At 43.4% G+C, this 21679-nt stretch overlaps 1 protein-coding gene across 2 annotated transcripts in view; it reads left to right on the top strand.

Moving 5' to 3' along the window:
• Positions 1–2214: 2214 nt before the first annotated feature.
• Positions 2215–21679, top strand: part of BARX2 (BARX homeobox 2) — a 77047-nt gene continuing 57582 nt past the window's right edge. The window contains exon 1 of one of the 2 annotated variants that reach the window (XM_011543044.3): positions 2215–2300. Coding sequence is in view for 1 of the 2 variants with exons in the window: in NM_003658.5 (NP_003649.2) it covers positions 3018–3204 (187 nt within the window). In the remaining variant the exon portion in view is untranslated. Of the gene's footprint in view, positions 2301–2829; positions 3205–21679 lie in introns of those variants that run through there. The other variant, NM_003658.5, reaches the window with a different exon arrangement.

Genomic DNA, 21679 nt, shown 5'->3' on the forward strand with positions numbered 1-21679 from the left:
CAGAGAGAAGAAAAGAGGTTAAGGAAAAGAAGAGCAATGCAAAGTCGGGGCCCCGAATAGTGCCGCATTCTGTGGGCACACGCCGGGCAGATAGAAAGTATAGACGCGACGCGCTCGGCCCCTCGTCGGGCGTCGGGTCCTGGTGCTGTCGCTCAGGTGCTGGTCCCCAGCTCCAAGCCCGCCTCGTAGTCGGCGCTGCGGGTGAGATCGCCCGCAAGCACTCAGTTTACTGGCGGCTGCCTACCAGCGGCTCACTTTCCTCGGGGCGCCTAAAGCTCCCCGCCCGGCATTGCCCCGGGAGCGAACGCTGAGCCCCTGGGACCCAGCCCCGACTCGGCGCAGCGGTTTCCCTCTCGGCTTGCGCCCGGGAGAACCCCCTCCGTCGTGGCGTCGGACGGCGATGCCAGGGCTGAGCGGTGAGCTGTCCCGGGTCCCGCGCTTTGACCGCGGACCAGCCTCAGGGTCCCGCCGCGGAAGCAGGGGGCGCGCCTGGGGCCAGCCTGTAGACCCCAGAGTCCGGCGGCAGGACCCCCGGCGCCACCCGGACACCTGGCAGCAGTTCTCGCCTGCCCTGCAGCCGCCTCTGCATGGAGAAAGAGAATGAAAGAAAACAATTCTAGATGGAGAGGAGGGGAGGGGAGGCCAGTTTGCAAATACTTCGGGAATGAAGTTCCTCAAAGACGCGTTGCGGGCCTTGTCTAATGCTAGGCTGTGACTTGGCCTCTTAACATCTATTTTCTCACGCCTGTAATCCCAGCACTTTGGGAGGCGAAGCGGGTGAATCACGAGGTCAGGAGTTCAAGACCAGCCTGGCCAAGATGGTGAAACCTGGTCTCTACTAAAAAATACAAAAGTTAGCCGGGCGCGGTGACAGGCGCCTGTAATCCCAGCTTCTCGGGAGACTGAGGCAGGAGAATCGCTTGAACCTGGGGGGCAGAGGTTGCAATGAGGCGAGATCACGCCACTGCACTCCAGCCTGGGCGACAGAGTGAGGCTCGGTCTCAAAAAAAAAAGAAAAAATCTATTTTCTCTAACAGCCTAATGATTAGTCCTCTGGGCGTGTCCCTCCCTCCTAGTTTAATCACCGGCCCAGGCGCCCTCATTTACTTGCTTCCGCGGCCACCAGGGCCCCCTGGGCAAGCAGCTCCGCAGAGAGCCCGCCGGCACTCGCGGACGCTTCTAGGCTGGGAGCGGGGAGGAAATGTCACCGGCCCCAAACTCGGCCCTAGGGAAGGCCATCCGCGTCTATACTTCTCAGTGTCCCTGTCGTGCGTTTTCCTTCCAACCCCATGCACACTCATTCCAACATAAAGTCGTGGAAACGGGCGTGCACTGGGCTGTTCCCGCCGAACACCGGGCGCGACTCAGGCTGCCGGAGGCTTCCCGGGCGCGGAGGCTCGGCGGGGTCCCCTTTACGCAGCAATTCCAATGAACAACTAAAGTCCGTACAGATTTTGATTGGAACAGACCCTAAGACTAAGAGCCTGGAAAGAAAAAGGCAAATCACCCAATAAACGCCTGTCTTCGCGACTCTCTAACCCGGTCGTATCGCGAGGGATCCGGATATTGAAAGCCCCTTTGCCGGAAGACTCGGGCGCTGGGAGAAGCCCGCATGGGACAGGCTGCCCCAGTGCCCGCCGGCTCCCTAGAATCGTGCAGCTCTGACCCTTTCCAACGAGGAAAAAATGTTTTTATAAACAATGTTTTAAAAAAAACCGCACACTTTTTTAAAAAGTCAGAATCTCGCTCTTGTCGCCCAGGCTGGAGTGCAGTGACGAGATCCCGGCTCACTGCAGCCGCGAACTCCTGGGCTCAAGATTTCCTCCTGCCTAAACCTCTCCAATAGCTGGGACTACAGGTTTCCTCTTGCCTCAACCTCTCCAGTAGCTGGGACTACAGGCGTGCACCACCATGCCTGTTTTTAATTTTTCTTTTGTAAAGACAGGGTCTCCCTATATTGACCAGGCTGGTCTCGAACCTCTGACCTCAAGCTATCGTCTCACGTCGGCCTCCCAAATGTTGGGATTACAGGCTTGAGCCACCGCGCCCGGCGATAACTCACACTTTTATTAGTTTTTCTTTTCTTATCTTTTTTTTTTTCTCAGTTTTTTATGAGGGTAACGGACGGGGCCAGGGTCATTTATGATTTGGGATCTTGGGGCAGTCAAGTTTGCAACTTCAGCTCAAAAGTCTTACGCTCGGAGCGCGCAGGCTCAGCGCGGGCTGCGAGACTGCGAGTGGAGGGCTTGGGAAGCCGCGGTCTTCGGGAAACCGTCCACGCGGGGAAGGAGAAAGGCACGGTGGGTCCTCGGGGGCACTGGCTCTGTGGCCCGAAGTCCCGGGAGCCTAGTGAGGACTAGACTTCTTTCTAGTAAGAGACCTGAACGTGCCCTCCCGCTGGGCTGCGGACACTGGGAGCCGGGCCGGCGGGTGGCAGGACAGGCAGTAAGGTGCTCATGGGGAACACTGCCCCGGGGAGCTACCGGCCTGGGCCTTGGCCGCGGGCTGGGGCGGTGCGCGCTCCCCGCACCGCGCGCACACTCCTGCACACACACCTGGAGCGCGTCCCGGGGGGGAGGGGGAGGAGAGCCAAAACGAGCGTCTTAAAATAGAGAGCCAGGCAGAGGAGCGCGAGACACCAGAGCGGGAGGCAGCGACTGAGAGCCGCCGGGCACTAGGCGCGCAGGTCGGCGCCGGAGTGGCACGGGCGGGCGGGGGCGGGGTGGGCGCGGACGCCCCTCAGCACACACTCCGCACCCGGCCCTGCAGGAAGCTCGCGCTGATTGACAGCTGCGTTGTCCCAAAAAGGCTCAGCGAAGATGCTGATCTGCGGGTGGGTCTAGACGCGCGGCAGGCGCGCCCGCTACCCGCTCTCCTCCGCGCGCCACCCGAGCCCCGCCGCCTCCCCAGCTGCCGGGAGCGGGGCCCAGGCCCCGCCGTCGCGCCAGCCCCGCGGCCCCAGCGGGCCGGGCACTCGCAGCCGCGCTCGGGCCGGCGGACGCTCGCGCCGGCTCACCATGCACTGCCACGCCGAGCTGAGGCTGAGCTCGCCCGGCCAGCTCAAAGCAGCCAGGCGGCGCTACAAGACTTTCATGATCGACGAGATCCTCTCCAAGGAGACCTGCGATTACTTTGAGAAACTTTCCCTCTACTCCGTGTGCCCGTCGCTGGTCGTGCGACCCAAGCCCCTGCATTCCTGTACGGGTAAGACGCTCCGCTAGGGGATAAGTGGGGTTCGGTAGCTTTCACGTCCGTGTAGGTGGCCTGTGCTTTGCGATCCGAGGGCGAGAGGAAGGGTTAAGTTAAGGGATTCTTTTCCTGCGCCTCAGCAAGCGGTGGGCATTGCAAAGGCATCTGCGACGTGGCCGGGAAGGACCACGCAAGGTGTGGATGGCACGAGTGGAAATAAAGGCGGCAGGGCCTTAGGAGTGGGCTGCTCGCGCAACGCCTGATTGTCCTGCTCGGAGGAGAACGCTTCCTCGTTTCCTGCTGAAAGTTCAAACACTTGAGCAGGTTCAGCGTCTAAATCGTTGTTTCAGGAAGTGGTGGTGTGTGTGAATTTCAAACTTGAGCTTGGCGGCCTTGCATCTCACCTTGAGTTAACTTGTCCAGCCTCCTACTGTCTCCACTGTGAATTTTGCAAGTAAATCAGTATCCTGAGGTTCTCAACAAAATCTCGAATTCACTGAGCTTTGCTTACAATGATCGCCCTCTGAGAAAGTAGTTCTGAAGTACATTGTCTTTGTGGCACAAGCCGAAAAGGTCACCCTCGTTTGTCTTAAGTCAAGCCGAAAAGGTCACCCTCGTTTGTCTTAAGTGACCAAAACCAGCAATGGTAACAATGAAAACATTACTCACACCTGGTTTTCTCTCTTCACGGGAGGTAAGAGCAATAGTAAAGATAAAGAGAACTTAATACATATATTGAAAACGTAGTAGAGTTTCTATCGAAAATAAATCCAAGGTACTTTTAAAATTTTGAATGCATTAAGAGAAGATCCAAGTTTCAAAGTATCTCGGCATTGTTAGGATTTAGGTTATGGAACATGGGTATAATAAAACGAAAAAGAAGTAGGAGCACTTTTTATCAGAAAAAAGTTATTGAGTGTGCTTTCCATTAAAGGTAAGCATAAAGTATTTCCAAACCAAAAGAACCTTTGAGATTGTTAGTTGCATGAGAGGCATGAGATAAATTAAATTACACTTAAAATGAAAAAATGAAGGGCCAACAGTTTTGGAAGATATTTTTTGGAACATTTGAGTTGTTAATGCTCAATGCGTGGAATCCTGTATTTTCTCTTGGTTCCATTGATAGTCCCTATATGACAATCAGTAAACATATGATAAATACATACAGTGAAGTTCTTTTAAAACCAAATTGTTCCTACATGTATTTGGTTGTAAAATGTATACTGTATTCAGTTATGCCTTTTTAAAGTTAATTTGTCTGTAAGGTAGAATTAGGCCTGATGTCCCATAACAAGCCTTGTAATACTGAATTTTTAAAACCAAGAAATATATGAAACAAGGAACAAATAAGAAATTTTAGAAACAAGATAGATCTCCTGAGAACTGATATTTTTACATTTGTGTATAGGTGGTTGTGGACCCTTGGACACATACATACTGAATAGGGGTGATAAGTTGAATATTGTTTTGAGCACAAATCATCCTTTGTTATAATAACTCAATTCCCTTCGAGGAAAAAGAGAGGATCTGTTTCAGTCATTAACATTGCGTATGGGACATTCCCAGGACAAAACAGAACAACTTCTAAGCACCTAGGTAGAGCCTAGTGCCGGCAGAATTTTCAGTGACTTTGTGCTGTGTTGACTTGAAGGCAGCTTTTCCTGGCTTATAGGAGTCACAGAATTGGATCATAGAAGAAAACGTGGCAGAAGAGGAGTAATAAATAGCTGCAGAGAATAGTCATTCAGTCAGAGGTGGCTGAGTAAGTGTCGTGTTTTATTGAACCTTGTGTGGGAAATAAATCAGAGGAAAAAAAAATGATTCATATGTAGTTTTGTGAGTGTTATAAGTGAAATGCACGTATTTCACAGACTTAAGTGTTGCTCAGTCTTGTGCTTTTCGAAGTTCACTGATGGTTCGTGGTAGAGGGTGGCTGTTGGCAATGGTTTTCTGGCTCCGTTATTCCAGTACTTTCTTCTTTCGGATTGTTAGTTGAAAATGTGTCGTTATTTTGCTCTAGTTGAGAATTAAAATATAGAAACTGGGATTTGCTGGTGGAATTAAACCCATAAAAACTGGCTACAATAGTTCATACTTTCAGATCATAAGCCTTCAGTGGGTTTACAGTTACAGTTAAAGCCTTACATGTATTAGATCATGGGAATCCCATTAGTGTCTTCTCAGGGGTTTTGCAAATACCATACTTTCAAAGCATTTTTGTTTTTAACAGTTAAGGTCAGGACAAAAATCTTTGATTAGATGAATGTAATCTTTTTTCTTATTAATTAAAAACAACAACAATAAGTTGCTGGCATCCCAAAGGACACTGTAATTTTCTTCTTTTCTTTTCTTTTTCTTTTTTTTTTTTTTTTTTTTGCTAGATGGAACTAAATGTTGAGCACTGGTGGTGGAAGCAATGCATAAAAAGTTCAAGTGAAAGGCATACATTGGAATTAAAGTTACTGAACTTTCTCAGCCTTTCATTTGCTGATTTAAGATTTAAAGACGTGTAACAGAAGTGAACTGTGTCAGGTAAAATAATGAAAACTAAGAGAAAAAAAAGGCCTCAAAATTAAAAAGTTACCAGCATGTACAATAAGTGCATAAAATTGGGATGGAAAGAAAACTACAGCATTAAAAAAAAAAAAAACACTGCATAATGAAACAGTTCATGCTCTGTGGATTTAGTAACCTAAAGGTCAATTTATGGTACCAAATATCAGGCAGAATAGCATGTATTCAAGCAAACTGAGAAATGGGAATAGTTTTCATCTCAGGCAGATAATCACCTGACAGGAATTTATTGTTCGACATTCTAGCCTTGATGGAATCCTCACCTTCCAAAAATTGTTGTTTAACAGACGCTTTCTTATTATAAACACAATAATTTTAGTCTTGGAAAGATGTCTCTAAATTTCTCTCGGTTTCCTAGTACGTCTCGTAAATCATCCTAATAGACACTGCAAAAGGGAATCCTTTCCCTGTAAGCCTCACCACAGAACGGTTTATCATCACATTTAAACTAAAATTTAAACAGCTAAGCCCAAAAGAATGCCTCCATTTGAAAAGAGTTGTGTCATTCAGGCCATTGGTGAGGGGTGGAATATGCTTAGAATTAAGTTAGTATATAAAAAGTTGGTTTTATTCTTAAATCTGTAAACAGTAATCCCTACTCAGAAGGCAGTGTAATGCCATTTAGAAATCAGCGATGAGCTCTCCAACTTCAGAGCATTGACCGTCATTACAAAGGCCAAAAGAGAGGTGCATTTTAGGATATCATAAATACACTTCATTTAGGATGCTTTATTTTCTTTTTCCGGTTGTGATTAATGTTTCTTGGTGGAAAAGCCCACTTGAAGAAAGCTGGTTTCTTGGGGTAGAATAGTTTGTGGAAGCATCGGCGTGGTCATTTTTGAAGCCTCTGCCTTTCTGTCTGATCTTTAGAATCAGGCAGTTTCTAAATTTGAGGCGTGTTGAGAAAAAATGGATAACTTGCTTCACAAAAATAAGGATTGTTACAATTACCCTAAGGGTTTTCACATGAAGATACTGATAAATGAACCTATGGTACTAATTACTTTTATTACAATTTTTTCTACTTAGAACCTAGAATTACCTTACATTTACACATGCACATTTGTGGGGAGGTGAGTGTAGATACTTGGACATTTTACAGCCTGCGAATAGGATGAGACTTTTAATTATTCCACTAACCTATAATCTAATTCTTTTCCCCTTCTCTGGCAGAATGGGTCTGTTGAATCTCTTACCTGTCTGATCTTTGGTGGTTAGACCTACAGAGCTGGAGAGGCTCATAAAATCATAGATCAATATCCTCAAGCAGAAGGTATTTTTTGCAAAGTGCCAGGGTCACGTCAGTGCTTCGTTATAGTTTCAGTCCACTGTATGCCACTCTCCTCCTTGTCATAGTACTCAGAAATCAGGAAGACTTTTCCAACTTGGTTACACACCCGGGACTAACCCGTGCAGTCACACCCAGGGGACAGTCAACCAGCCAGTTAGAAGGGACATTTGGGGAAGGGTGTTTATCTTTTAGGAGGTGGCATCAAGAACATTTTATCCTGTGGTGGATCCAAGAGAAGCAAGTCCTTTGGGGTAGTGTCCTTGGGTGCGTTTTTATCACAAACATTGGGTGTCATCCCAGCAAAAAATTAAATGCGGTGCAGGTATGTATAGTGTCTCGTTTGGGAGTTAGGGAGCTGGCTAGTGCTTCATGGAGTTAGCTCTGGTGACTCTCCAAATCTCAGCTTGGTCTTTTTCAGTCAGAGACCCAAACTCATAGGATCTTAGGAACCTGAGAGTTGGATACTGGAATGTTAATGGAGAAACATAAACCAAGGTCTGGGAAAAATGATCGTTATCAACAAGCATTTGTATTTCTGCCAGAGGCACATAGGCTTTTAGTAGCAATTACTCATAACTGCTTCTCCTGTTCCCATTGTAAGGGTAAATAAATAGAGGGATGCACGGGATCTGGGACTCATCCAGGGTCAGTATATATTTGGAACTGAGCTCTTTTGGGATCCTTAACTGTTATCTCACTACTCTTTTGCTAGAGATACCAAGGGATTCCTTAGGAGTCAGTTTTTTTTTTTTTTCTTCCAATAGCGGGATCTTGGCTCACTGCAACCTCCACCTTCTGGGTTCAAATGATTCTCCTGCCTCAGCCTCCTGAGTAGCTGGGATTACAGGCGCCCATGACCACACCCAGCTAATTTTTGTATTTTTAGTAGAGACAGGGTTTCACCATGTTGGCCAGGCTGGTCTCGAACTCCTAATCTCGTGATCCACCCGCCTCGGCCTCCCAAAGTGCTGGGATTATAGGCATGAGCCATCGCGCCCGCTGTGAAGTCGGTTTTAACTCATGAATAGTTCATTAGCGGTGTCTTCTCTGGCTCTGATTTTTCTCAAAGCAAATGAAAAAACGATTAGAAATTTCGTTCACGGGTTGAAATGCCCCTCCAAATGTCCACTGTTCACTATCATTTAATTCAGTAATTTCATGCAACAAATATTTATATTTGCTTGGTGATGGCATTGTCATTGAGTCTATTATTTTGAAACTTAATCTAACTGTTGACTAGCAGTTAGGGTGTTTAAAAAATCCCTCTCAACTACTTGTAGAACCATTGCTAAGCCCTTCTTTGTTTGTTTTGTTTTGTTTTGTTTGTTTGTTTGTTGTTGTTTTTTCCTAGTGTATGTGAGAGGCAGCTCGGAATTGGGATAGGGGAACATCTAATACTTTTGCTTACTATGTGGAATTTTCTCTTTGAACTCTACCTACAGGGTGTTATCACCAGCAAAACTGTCAAATCAACTTTGCTACATACAACTCAAATGAAACTCTATTATGAGGCTGATTTCCTACAGATATGTTTGTTTTTTGCTGGTTGTATTTCTGGATCCAAGACTGAATTTGTGATAGAAACATGGATAGTATAAAGTTGTTAGTTTTAGCATATCCTAGAAATCAGAGTGGAAAGATTAAATGTAACATATCCCAAAAATCTATATGAAAAGGAGTTAGGATTGCAAAGGATTATTTTATTTATAAAGAGAGATTGAAAGGAAAAAAAAGAAGGGAAGAAGGAAAGTAAGAGTGGGTTTCTTTGAAATTCTTGAGGCTGCACAGATTCAGCCTCATAGCACAGCATTCCTCCGAAGGGCTGTACAGGCAAAACAAAGCTGGCTTGTGAAATTCTGTCGCTCCATGGGTACTAAATGGCTAAAGTTGATTCTACTTAGACGCGTGCTGGGGCCTCTTCAAGGTTGAGATCCAGAGCTTAAGCTCTGCACAGCATTTAGCCTTCGCTCTGGAAGACTGAGTAAATGTTAAACCAGAAGCAATTTTAGGTGTTATTTGCACTTTGTTTTGAGGTCAGGTAGGAGGAGCAGCAGAGATGCAAAGGTAGGTACGTCACATGGGCTGAGGCCTCTTCATTTGTTTTTGTTTTTGTTTTATTTTTTTGAAACAGGATCTTGGTCTGTTGCCCAGGCTGGAGTGCAGTGGGGCGATCTTGGCTCACTGCAACCTCTGCTTCCCGGGTTCAAGCGATCCTCCCACCTCAGCCTCCCTAGTAGCTGGGACTACAGACATGTGCCACCATGCCTGGCTAATTTTTGTATTTTTAGTAGAGACGGGGTTTCACCATGTTGGACAGGCTGGTCTCGAACTTCTGACCTCAGGTGATCTGCCCGCTTTGGCCTCCTGAAGTGCTGGGATTACAGGCGTGAGCCACTGCACCCAGCCGAGGCCTCTTAATTTGTACTGAGCTCGTGAACGTGCATGCTATGGAGCCTGAGGGTCTTCCTTGCCACACGTCCTGCCCACGACTGTAGTTAGCAGACTAGAGTTGGTGGGTCTATGGCTAAGCCCATTGACAAGCTCTCAGCTGGAATATGGTTAGAGGGCTGCAAGGACTCAGGTGGGATGCATAAATTAACACCTCATTTTGCATCTTCTGTTGGGGATGCAGTTCTGTTTTACACTCCAGTCTTGTGGAATGGGTGTTTCTAGTGTGGCTCTAGGGACGCACTCACAGCTGGATTAACCACCTTTTCCCCGAGAACTTGCTAAAGCCCACAGGTGCTCAAAGGATGGGCAAAAGACCACTGTGCTGCAGGTGGCACCCTCTCTTGGAAGCAGCATGACGACGAGAAGAAGAGAAGCATTGAGGGCATTCGTGCAAAGACTGCAAGCGTGGAGAAGCACCTTGGGCCTGCCTGTCGGTGCCTGCCTCCATTTTAGCTGCCTGAGAGGATGGAACGGTAGTTTCTTTCCACAGCACAGATGGCAAAATCAGAATTCACGTTAGGATTTATTAGTAACGGGAGTCAGACCAGGACTTTGTACAAACTTGGTGGCATTCACAAATACTCTCCAGGAAGAGAGGTGTTTTGTTTGTTTGTTTTTTAACCAGAAAACCTTTGCAAACCCTCAGGATTTAATTTATTTTTATTACAGCTTAGTAACAGTTAGAAGAAGGAAAGTCTTGTTAAAATAAATGCTCTAAATAAAAACACAGTTAATTTTCCATTACCATGTCTAATTACTCATCATCACCAGGGCATTTTTATATGGCAATTTAACTTCTTGAAAGTGGAAACTTGGCACACGTTTAAGGAGGAAAGCCATGCACCTAGATAGATATCAGAAGGCGGTATAATTATATTTGGGCTCGAGTTGAATCCTACATATGATTGCTCTGAAGAAGAGAGAAGAGAGGGCCTCTGTCCGTAGTCACTAAGGAGAGACTCTGGTTTCTTGAGTGCCAGTTGAAATTGAATACAGAGGGAGAGAATTCTGAAGATTAGGTGATGTTCAAGTACATCTGAAAAGGGCCCCTGCCAGTCACCAGTTGAAGTTGATTTCAGGGCTAGTTGAGAAGTCTGGAGGGCAGCTCTGTAAGCTTCCTCCTGGCAGAGTGCACACAGATGACACAGCCTTCCTCCATGCACAGGTCAAAAGACGACTGAAGAGAAGCCAAGCTGGGAGGATCTCAGCACCAAACTAACTACGTTCCATGTACAAGCAGACACGCTTGCAGGATTCCTTTTTACCGCGTCTTTCCAGCTTACCAACATGTCCTTAGGAACATATTCTTCTGGGTATTGAGGAAAGATGAGTATTTTCTGTTTTTTGTTTTTTTGTTTGTTTGTTTTTGAGACAGAGTCTCGCTCTGTCACTGAGGCTGGAGTGTAATGGTGCAATCTCGGCTCACTGCAGGCTCTGCCTCCTGGGTTCAAGTGATTCTCCTGCCGCACCCTACCAAGTAGCTGGGATTACAGGCGTCTGCCACCATGCCCGGCTAATTTTTGTATTTTTAGTAGAGATGGAGTTTCACCATGTTGGCCAGGCTGGTCTCAAATTCCCAACCTTGTGATCCACCTGCCTCGGCCTCCCAAAGTGCTGGAAGCCACCGCACCCGGCCAGATGAGTATTTTCACAATGTGCATAGAATAGGATTGGCTGCTGCCTAGGTGATGTCAGATCATTTCTGATCTTTTTTTTTTTTTAAAAAACCAACATATGCATTTGGTAAGTGATATGATGCTTATCCTTTGGTTTTTCTTATTCAAGGATTACTTACCATGTGGAGAAATGGAGTGGTCTTGGGCCTGATGAAATTTCATGAAATAGTGGCTATATTTCTGTCCTGGGAAGTACCTGGTACTGGCAAGTCCCTGATATTGATAACCTGCCAACCTCCACTGCCCACCTTTCTTTCCCAGAGTCCTTTTCACTCGGTGAATTAACCATCACTGAGACTCAGGATGATGGGCTTTTCCCAAAAGAGGTCACAGTCTCGTGTGGATTGAAGGAAGTGTAACTTCCATGCTTAGTTTAAGCAATATCTAAGGGAGCTGACTTTGCACATTTCCTAATGGTAACTTATAGACAATGGAATGCTGATATTGCATCTTCTTATCTTGAGGAAATATCATGGGCAAGAAGAGTTGCTGAGACTCCTTTTTCTGAGTCTTACAGTACTTATCCAAGGGGAGCCACAAACTTGAGAGAAATGCTAGAAATACTTTATACCCTAAACCATATTCATAGACAGGGCAATAATAGTAATAGCGACTGTTTAGAAATTACCTAACATGTAATAGGCACTAGACTCAGTGCTTTTTGATCAGCTTCAAAATATCCCTATGAAATAGGTTTATCATCTCCTTTGGTAATGGTGGAATCCTAGAAGCTAAATGACTTTCCTAAAGTCACAAGATATAAAGAGAGCTCTTATGAAGCAATAAGAAAAATGGGCAAAGGCTACAATCAGGCAATTCATAGAAAGGAAGATCTCAATGGCCAGTAAACATGAAAGGATGCTCAACCTCGCTGATAAGTGGGAACACCCGAATTAATATGAGATACCATTTCACACTCACTGGGTAGCCCAAAATGAAAGGACAAAATCGGTTGATGACAAGGAGATGGAGCAACAGGCATTCTCCACACTCCGGCGGGAGTGCTGTATGGTACGATTATTTTGGAGAGCAATTTGGCAACAAATGGCAAAGCTGCAGACGCACATACCCTAGGGCTCAGCAGTTCCACTCCTGGGTATGTGCCTGGAGAAACCAGTGTATGAGTGTAAAAGGATACCTGTAAAAATGTTCACCTGTGTGTTATGTTAGTAAAAAATAAAAAACAATTTAGCTGTCCTTTCAGAAGGAAAAAGGTTAAAATAATATATGCTATATCCATGCAATGAAATTCTATGCAGCAATTAAAATAAATGAACCAGATACACTTGTATTAATATGGATACATTTTAGGAATACAATGTTGAGAAAAAAAGTTGTAGATTGATACTTACTGTCTGATACCATTTATTTAAATGGTTGAAAAGGCACAAACTAATACTACATATTGTTTAGAGAGGCAGGGGCATGGGAGTGGGGAGTGCTAACCACAGGTTTTTATTTTCCTATGTAATTTATTTATTTATTAAGACAAAAAGGCCTAATGTAAATATGGCTAAGTATTACGATGTGAAGAAACTTGGGTCATGGCTACATAGAAGTTAATGACATTATTCTTTGTACTTTTCCATATATCTGAAATTTTTCATAACATGAAGATTGAAAAGTGATAGCACAAGAGACCGCACATGTCCACAGAACTCTTAATCTTGTGGAACTTTTGATCTTTTTCTTAATAGCTTTTCTATCCTGAAACAGTAGCATTTAAATACAGAGCTTGTTGTACATAGTCTCACAGTGGGAAACTGAGAACACTTTATAACTAAACATATGTACAACTCACACTGAAACAACCACTGTGGCTTCTGAAAGTGGCTTTTGGATCTTACTAACCTTGCCTGGCTGATTGAGGGTATTATTTATCACCAAGATAACTGCTGTTTCTCCAGTAATGCTTTGGCATAGAATAAATAGTCTCTGAGTTGGGTACATGCTCTTGAAGGATGACTAGTGAAGTATTTGGTCCCCCAGTCGTGCAAGAGAGAGTTGTCAGGGTTTTTCTGCTTCTTCTTACTGATGTTTAAAATCATTATAAACTGCCTCTGATTGCACCTTGCTTTTATGAGTATTTGTTGATATGACAATATACTACCCTTAGCATTTCACCAGTGGTCCTTTGCTATTGACAGTTTCATTTACAGAAATTATCTAAGGACAGCTGTGATTGAACCAAATAATCTAAAAATGTTAACGTGTAGCTTCTTAGCAGGAAAGAATAATGTTGATATTGGCATGTTATTATCTGTCCAAGTTCTCTTTATAGTCCATAATCATGATCTGATTTTAAAAGTTTGTTCAATATATGGTATTGGGGACTGTTAGAAGGGATGAATGTTACCATGGTGATCTCACAGAGATGTCTGTTACCAGCAATCAGTGGGCATCCTATTGTTTGGAGGAGTAAACCTGGACCACATTTTACTCCCTAATGACAACCATAGTGGCAGAAACTTTATTCAGCCCAACACCAAAGACGTTTTTCTTTTCTCAGCAAAGTAGTCCCAATTTAGAAATGTTGCTATTAGACATTTTGGCAAAAACGTGGCCTTTTGGGAGCTCTATCTTTCTGTGTCCTTCCAAAGGGAAAGTATTAGTGTGGAGGAAACAGTTTGTACAATCAAGAGTTTGCCAAAGCATTTCCCTTCCTGCCACCACTCCTGTCTGCCTAAACAAATACATAGACAAATAAACAAATTAAAGCTCTGGAGGGGGGCCTCACCCCACCCACAGGATCTGTGGCCAGGGTGGCCAGATTTTCTTTGGTGCTAAGCACGAGGACTGTGCCCAAACTGGACGTGATGGAAAGGATGGTGGCTCTATCAGTTTCATTACCAGGGTTCAGACTTTCGCGGGTTACGGGACAAAGTCCTTCTGCATTTTATTATACGCAGATAGTCGCACACTCTGGCTGGGATCAGTTAAACAGACTGACACTTTTGCTTGTGCCTTACTCTTTCGACCTCCTGGAACTCTCCAGTGAAACCTTATTCCTCGTAAAATGAACTAGCCAGGCTTGGGGCTGTCAATATAGGAAACATTATCAAGGAAGATATTCCAAAGAGCTGCCGTGGGACTACATAAGTCAGAAAAAATGCGGAGGACTTCCTCCTGCAACCCAGGGGAGTCTGTTCACTTGCAACAAATCTGACAGATCCACTTTTGAATCCTCTGTCTGGAACTACTTAGGAAAAGACAAGCAAGGATTTAGGATATTTAGGGTAAATTTTAAATGTGTTTCACTGAAAGAGAGAGAGAGGAAGGTGTTTTAATATGGTTCCAATCTAAGACCTTTCTTTTCCATGACTAAACATTTTACTGAAATAATTGGTAAGTTACCCCAGAGGAGATATTTCGGAAAGGTGTTGTTAATATTGTTATCCCTGGATATCATGGTAACTCATTAATGAACCTCAGCACATTAGACAGCTGTGGCTATTGGAAGCATGTTTTCAATCATCAGTTCAGAGCAAGGCATGAAGGAACATCCTATTGGAGTGCTTGCTTTTTTTTCTACTGGGAGATTGGGCCTTTGCTGGTTAGAACAATCAGGGGCTAAACAGCATATTTCATTTCTTAGGGAGGTGCTAAATAGGAGTAACAACAATAATAAATGGCAACCACGTGCCCGGCACTGTGCTAGGTGCTTGTATACATAAATGTGTTCTAGTGAAATAGTTACTATTACCACTGCTTTTCAGGCAGGGAAAGTGAATCTCAAGGAGGTTAAGAAATGGGAACGGGGTCACACGAATAAGTGGCAGGGTTGAGATTGGAACTTGCATCTGTCTCTTTCAATATAGACTCCAGTACTGGATATGATTATATGAAAATGTGTAAATTAGAACATGTCTGTCTCATTACATATAGGCAACATACTGTGTGTGTGTGTGTGTGTGTGTGTAGATATAAAAAATATATATGGTAAGGTCCAATTAATGCATCAGCTCTGTTGGAACTTATTTTGAACCTGCCAACTCTTTTACACATATTTATACTAATTTAATGTGTGCCAGTTCGTCTTTCATTTCCTGTGGTGATTGGGGTTTCTGAATGATTCCAGAGGGATTCCAAGAGGCGGTGGGGTTTTGCGGGGAAGGGAGGTGATTGGGAGATTGCAGACCTGTTACCATCTGGCTGTGTGACTCTCCACTCCTCACTGCCCTGGGGTCTGTGTCCGTGTCTGTGTAGCATTCGCTACCAATCTCTGGGTCACGGTGCTTCCATCAGCTGTCATTCTTTGAATAAAGCTTTCCTAGGGGAATCAAGGGTGGAATTCCTACTCATTCATTCATTATCAACTAGAGAGAAAGTGCTGAACAACTAAAGCCAACCAAATGCCTTGAGAGTTAACACTTCGGATATTTTTCATGGAATACTCATTAGGTTCAGTGAGAAAAAATGTCTGGTCGTTGATTGGCATCACTTAAAAGAACGAGATTATTTTTTCACATTATATCTGGCTGAGCTGGAGTGGATTCTGGGAATCTCTATTTTTAAAAACCTTTCTGTATGATTGCAATGAAAAGTCAACTCTGGGAACCACAATAATGTAGATAACAGCTTAAATATGAGATTGATGTAATTTGCACCCCACGACTCAAATGTATGAAACCATTTAGTGGAGTAATCCTACTGTTGGGGTTTTGAGTCAGACGGTCCTGGGTTTTATTGTATTTTATTGCCTGTGTGACCTTAGGTAAATTACTTAACTTCTATGACACTCAGTTTCCTCATCTGTGAAATGAAGATAATAATAATCACATAATAGGGTTAGTTGTGGAGGTTAAATGAGATAATGTATATAAAGCTCTCAGTATTTTATTGGCTGTGTGACCTTAGGTAAACTTAACTTCTATGACACGTAATTTCCTCATCTGTAAAATGAAGATAATAATAATCACATGATAGGGTTAGTTGTGGAGGTTAAATGAGATAATGTATATAAAACTCCTAGTATAGTTTGTGGTAACAAAGTGCTTAGTATTTGATAGCTTCTATTAAAAATAATTATCTTACAATAGTAACCTCATCACTGAAGTACAACCCTTTAGGGAAAGATTACCATTATTGGTGAATTAAACTTAAGAAAAATTTAAATCTTGAAAAACCCCACTTTACTCCAGGGCATTTTTCTGGGTTACAGCGACACTAGCTGCTTTTAAGACCCCTTGCAACCTGGGTGGTCTGTGAATTGTTTGAGTTCAAGTCTTCATGAATTAGGTATGTTTCATTCCTCCCACTTTTCTGTTTTGTAATATGAATTCAGAATTTTATAAATTCATAAATGAGTGGCACAAACAGGTCAGCGCTACAACATCACAAGATGTGCTTTGTTACTTTATTTTTTTTTTTAACAAGAGTTTCCTAGGATTCATTGCCCCTAGGAAATGTTTCATCACACAGCTGTAAGAGTCTCAAGAACTGTCCTAGAAAAGTGGCAGAATTTCTCAACACGTTTGATTTCTTTTCTTCTTTCAAGAGTAGAGTTAGGGATAGTCTTTTTTTTTTTTGAAAAAAAATGAAACTATTCTTTTTTTCTTATTTTCGAGCACTGAGAGAGGAAAATAACTCCACTGAGATGTTCTTTTCCAATTAGGTAGCATGGAAAATGGTAGCAGTATGACAACTAATCACTTTCCTAGTATATTATTGGGTCTGTGATTCAGAGTGAGTTCCAAATGAAGTGCCTTTGTGACAGCTTTTAAATTACTGGTGGGGCTAGCTTCTGAATGTATTCTAAGTGGTAATGATGGATGGCTGTCACGTGGAGGAACTGCCTGAGGAAGAGTTCCATGTGGATTTTTTTGGGATTGTGTTTCTCAGCTGGTCACTAGTGTCTTATGAAGTTTAGTATCTGCTGGTGAAATACTTTAATTGATGAATCCCCTCCACGGTGTGAGAAGAATTCTCTTGATGAGGAGTTCTCACCTTCTATGGTGCAAAGGCATCGCCAGTGAACAGGGTGATGCCTCTGTCCAGCCATTTATAATGATGATTCCGACAGGCAATCTCTAGTGGCCTCATCCAGGTTCTGTGGTGGGTGGGGGCCAAGTGGGATAAGACAGGTGGATGTGTCATCACCACTGAGACGGAGTGGCATGTATTTATGAAGAGTGAGAAGGCTGACTTTGTCCCCTAGGGTCCTCAGAACCATAGAGTCTGAGTTTTCTGAATTGTTGAAAATAGGACTCAGTCAGAGACATGGATCGTTGGCATCTTGTTGAGAATATTCTATTCAGCCTGTGGATTCAGAAAAACAAAATGCATATGTTTGTGTTCCAGTAGGAGGGGAGTAGGCAGGAATGGGGTGGGAGTGGAAAAGGAATGTTGGCCAATGGGGAAGGGAGAGTGAGGGGTAAGGAAACAAGTTAGTCCACTGAAACAGGGATCCAAATGCTTACTCAGCATTTGTTGTCTCCAAGAGAAAAACAAATTGAAAAATGAGAATGGAAGATTTCATTTGGAAATGGCCCTGTGAGTACGTGCTTATTTTCAGAGGCGTTCCCCATAACTGACAGCAGTCAATGACTTCTGATTGGGCAATGGCCTGGCCAGCCACACAGGTAGCCCAATCATCATATGTATTAATGGTGCATTCAAAAATTTCATCATCCTGGGTCACAAAAGATCATGACGACTGTATTATAATACAATAATGGTATTCATGCAGTGGCGCACAGAAAATTGTGTGTACTTGACGCACAGGCGGTGTGGAAGCAGGATTTAAAGTAGAACTCCTGTCAAAAACCTTTCCTCCAGAGCCTCCACTGCCTCATTCTGTGATGTTTCAATACGTCAGTTTCTGCTGTTGGTAAAACACATCTTACCTCCCCAGTATGTTGGGGAGCAGTGATTGATGAAGGAGGATTAATTTGCTGCTTTTCGGGAGGGACTCCTTGCAGTCTCCAGGGGATTACATGTATTATGGTGTTTCCACAGAAAGCTAGACCAGGGATTGGCTAAATCTGGCCCACTACGAATTGTTCTACTACCACAAGCTAAGGATGGTTTTCACATTCGTAAACCGAGGAAAAGAAATCAAAAGCGGAACATTTCGTGACCTGTGAAAATTATGTGAAATTCAGACATCAGTGTCCGTACATAAAAATGTTATTGGAACACAGCACATGCACCAGTCTGCGTGTTGTCTGTGGCAGCTTTCATGCTGTCACAGTGGAGGGAGAGGTTGTGACAGACACAGCATGGCCCATAAAGCCTAAAATATTGACTTGCTGGCCCTTTACAAGGAAGGTTCGCCAACCCTTCCACTAGACTGTTGGAAGCAGAGCTCCTCAGTTACGAAATAAGGTTTTTACTGATCCATAAACTATGATGTCATTCCAGGGCACAAAAATACCTCCTTTGATCCAGGGTTCTGTTGTCATCCTGTGACACGAGAAAGACCCGACAGTGGGAGTTTAGTGGGGAATTTTGCAAGGACTCTCTTAAAGTGAGATCAGGCTCTGGGCTTTAAGGATAAATTTCCAGACCTTTCTAGAAGTAACACAGGATTTTCTGCACGGAGAGGGGGGTCAAAAATATTTATAGTAAAGTGGTAGAATTCAACAAAGTATTTTTGGGACTTTCTCTTTGCTGCTGCAGCCCCGACCGGTTTTCCCAGGGGGAATCTGAGGATGGCCCCTGAGGAGAGGCTGGGCGTGTCAGCATCACTGGCATTTTTCAGTTTGAGATTTGGATGACAGTTTATATGCTTCTTAATTGACTTTAACCTGCTGCCCATCCCTAGAAGTAATAGTAATGGTAATAAAAGTTACACAATCACATCGCCACAGCTCTGTCCTGAAGGGCTTGCATAGCTGGATGGAACACTTAATTGGGATGGTCCACTCTGCTGGGGAAGTGCAGGAGACTATGTGCCTTTGGAATTTTCAACTCTTCAGGGTCAGGAACTGCCAGACCTCTCAGGAAGGATGAAGCACGACTCTCTCTAGTTGCTCTCTTATTTACATTGAGGCCCTTGGGTCAGGGTGAGGCTTTGCGTCTCCAAGGTAGCCTTTGAGCTAATGAAACCCACTGTGGGGTGAGAGATGCGAAATTAACCTGATTTGCTGCAACTTCCTGTGCACTGTCGGGCTTACCAGCCAGTAGGCTGAAGAACCCTTGAGATCTGGCCCTTACCATAAAATGGAGAGGAGTGTGCACAAGTGCAAGGTCGATTAATGTCAGAGGAGATGACTGATGTTGGTAGGTAAAATTCCACTTCCAAGAAAAGTATGTGTGGTACAGGTGACACCTGATTTTCTTACTCCAAATCACAGATGATGTTGAAAAAACAATAATAATAACAATACACACACATAACAGGAAACACTGGTATAATACTATGTGCCAGGAACTGCTCTGAATGCTCTTATATGAATTAACTTTTTTTTTGTTTGATTCTTGTTTTTTGAGACAGAGTCTCGCTCTGTTGCCCAGTCTGGAGGGCAGTGGTATGATCTCGGCCCACTGCAGCCTCTCTTTCCTGGGTGCAAGCAATTCTTGGGCCTCAGCCTCCTGAGTAGCTGGGATACAGATGCGTGCCACCGTGCCCAGCTAATTTTTTGTATTTTAGTAGAGACGGGGTCTTGTCATGTTGCCCAGGCTGGTCTTGAACTCTTGGCCTCAAGCGATCCACTTGCCTCAGCCTCCCAAAGTGCTGAGATTAGAGGTGTGAGCCACTGCGCCCGGCTAACTTGTTTAATTATACCACAGTCATATGAGGAGATACTATTATTATTCTCATTTGACAGGTAAAGAGACAGATAGAAGGCCAGAAATGGTTGTTCATGCCTGTAATCCTAGGACTGTGAGAGGCCAAGACAGGAGGATCATTTGAGCCCAGGAATTTGAGACCAGCCTGGGCAACATGGAGAGATCTTGTCTCTACTGAAAATAAAAATTAAAAAAAATTAGCTGAGACCAGAGGATTGCTTGAGCCCAGGAGTTCAAGGCTGCAGTGAGCTATGATTGCATCACTGCATTCCAGCCTAGGCAACAGAGGAAAATCCTATATCTAAAAACAACAGCAACAAAAAGAGTGGAGGAACAGAAGACAAATCCGGTCCTGATCACCCTTTGGGAACTCTATTGTCTAATGTGGCTTAGACTCAAGAATTTCTTATTTTGAAAAGTATGGTGCTGGGTACAGAGTAGATAGATCCTCAGTAATGCTTTCTAAAAATATTAAATATTAAATATTTAAATATTTTCTGATTTTCTATTATTACTGATTTGATTTTCCTCATCTAGTTCTTTCTTTGTAGGCCATATAAAACTATCCCTAGAATGATTAGGATATCCTTTTTTTTTTTTTCCTGGAGCAGTAAAGTTCTTACATAGCTGAAGTTCTAGGGAATGTATTAGTGTCCAAATTTGCAAAGTGAGTTAATGACAGGGACACAGTTCAATATTTTATCCACAACCTTAGGAACTATTCCAGAATGGCTATGATTTAAATGAATTTTATCTTACTGTTAATATTTTTAAAAATTAAATATTGAGTAAGGAAAATGTTTATAAAATATATGTATGATAAAAAGAATAGTAATACAATGAACACTTGTGTCTACCCACCACCCAGTTTAAGAAAAATATTTCAGCTAGACAGGGTGGCTCATGCCTATAATTTCAACACTTTGGGAGGCTGAGGCAGGAGGATTGCTTGCGGCCAGGATTGAGACCAGCCTGGGCAACATAGTGAGACCTCATCCCTATAAAACATTTAAGAAATAAATTTAAACAAAAGAAAAAGAACATTTCTTCTGGGTTGCCTGGGTTCCCCTCCCTGATGCTGTCTGCGTCTCTCCCCCATTAGAGGTCACCAGTATTTCAGTTCTCAGCTTTTCTCTGTAGTTTTGCCATGTGTTATCCCTAAATCATATGTTGTTGAGCTTTGGTCATTTTTGAACTTTATATAGATGGAATCACACTATACTTTTTGTGACTTGCTTTTTTCTCATAGCATTGCATTTCCCAGATTCCTCTCTGCTGTTGTGTGTACCTACGGTTCACTCATTTTCATTGATAGAGTGTCCAGTGTGTACATAAACCATACTGTTTATCTGTTTTGTTGATGGGCTTTGCGGTTGTTTTTGCTGCTTTGAACATGCTTGTTAAATTCCTTTTTAGAAAACTAATGATCAGGAGGACTCACTTAAGTGAAATAGTTTTTCTATGAGAAAAATAGTTCTACAGTTTAATGAAAATTGTAATATCTGCGCCTTGAACAAACAGATGTAGTTTTTATTTTAGGACGCATGCTAACTACCTATGAAGTGGGTTTATTTTTAGTGGCTTTTTTTTGGTTAAATTTTTTTCCCCAGAGTTGAACAATGATTTATTTTAATTTCTAAACCAAATCAAGGCATTTATTGTAAAACCACTAGAAAATAAGTCTTCCCAATTTAACAGCATATGTTTTATAAATATTTTAATAAAATGAATTTTAAAATATTAAATAATTTTAGTTAGAATGTGA

This window comes from Homo sapiens, chromosome 11, assembly GCF_000001405.40.
Source record: "Homo sapiens chromosome 11, GRCh38.p14 Primary Assembly".
Classification (NCBI taxonomy): Eukaryota; Metazoa; Chordata; class Mammalia; order Primates; family Hominidae; genus Homo; species Homo sapiens.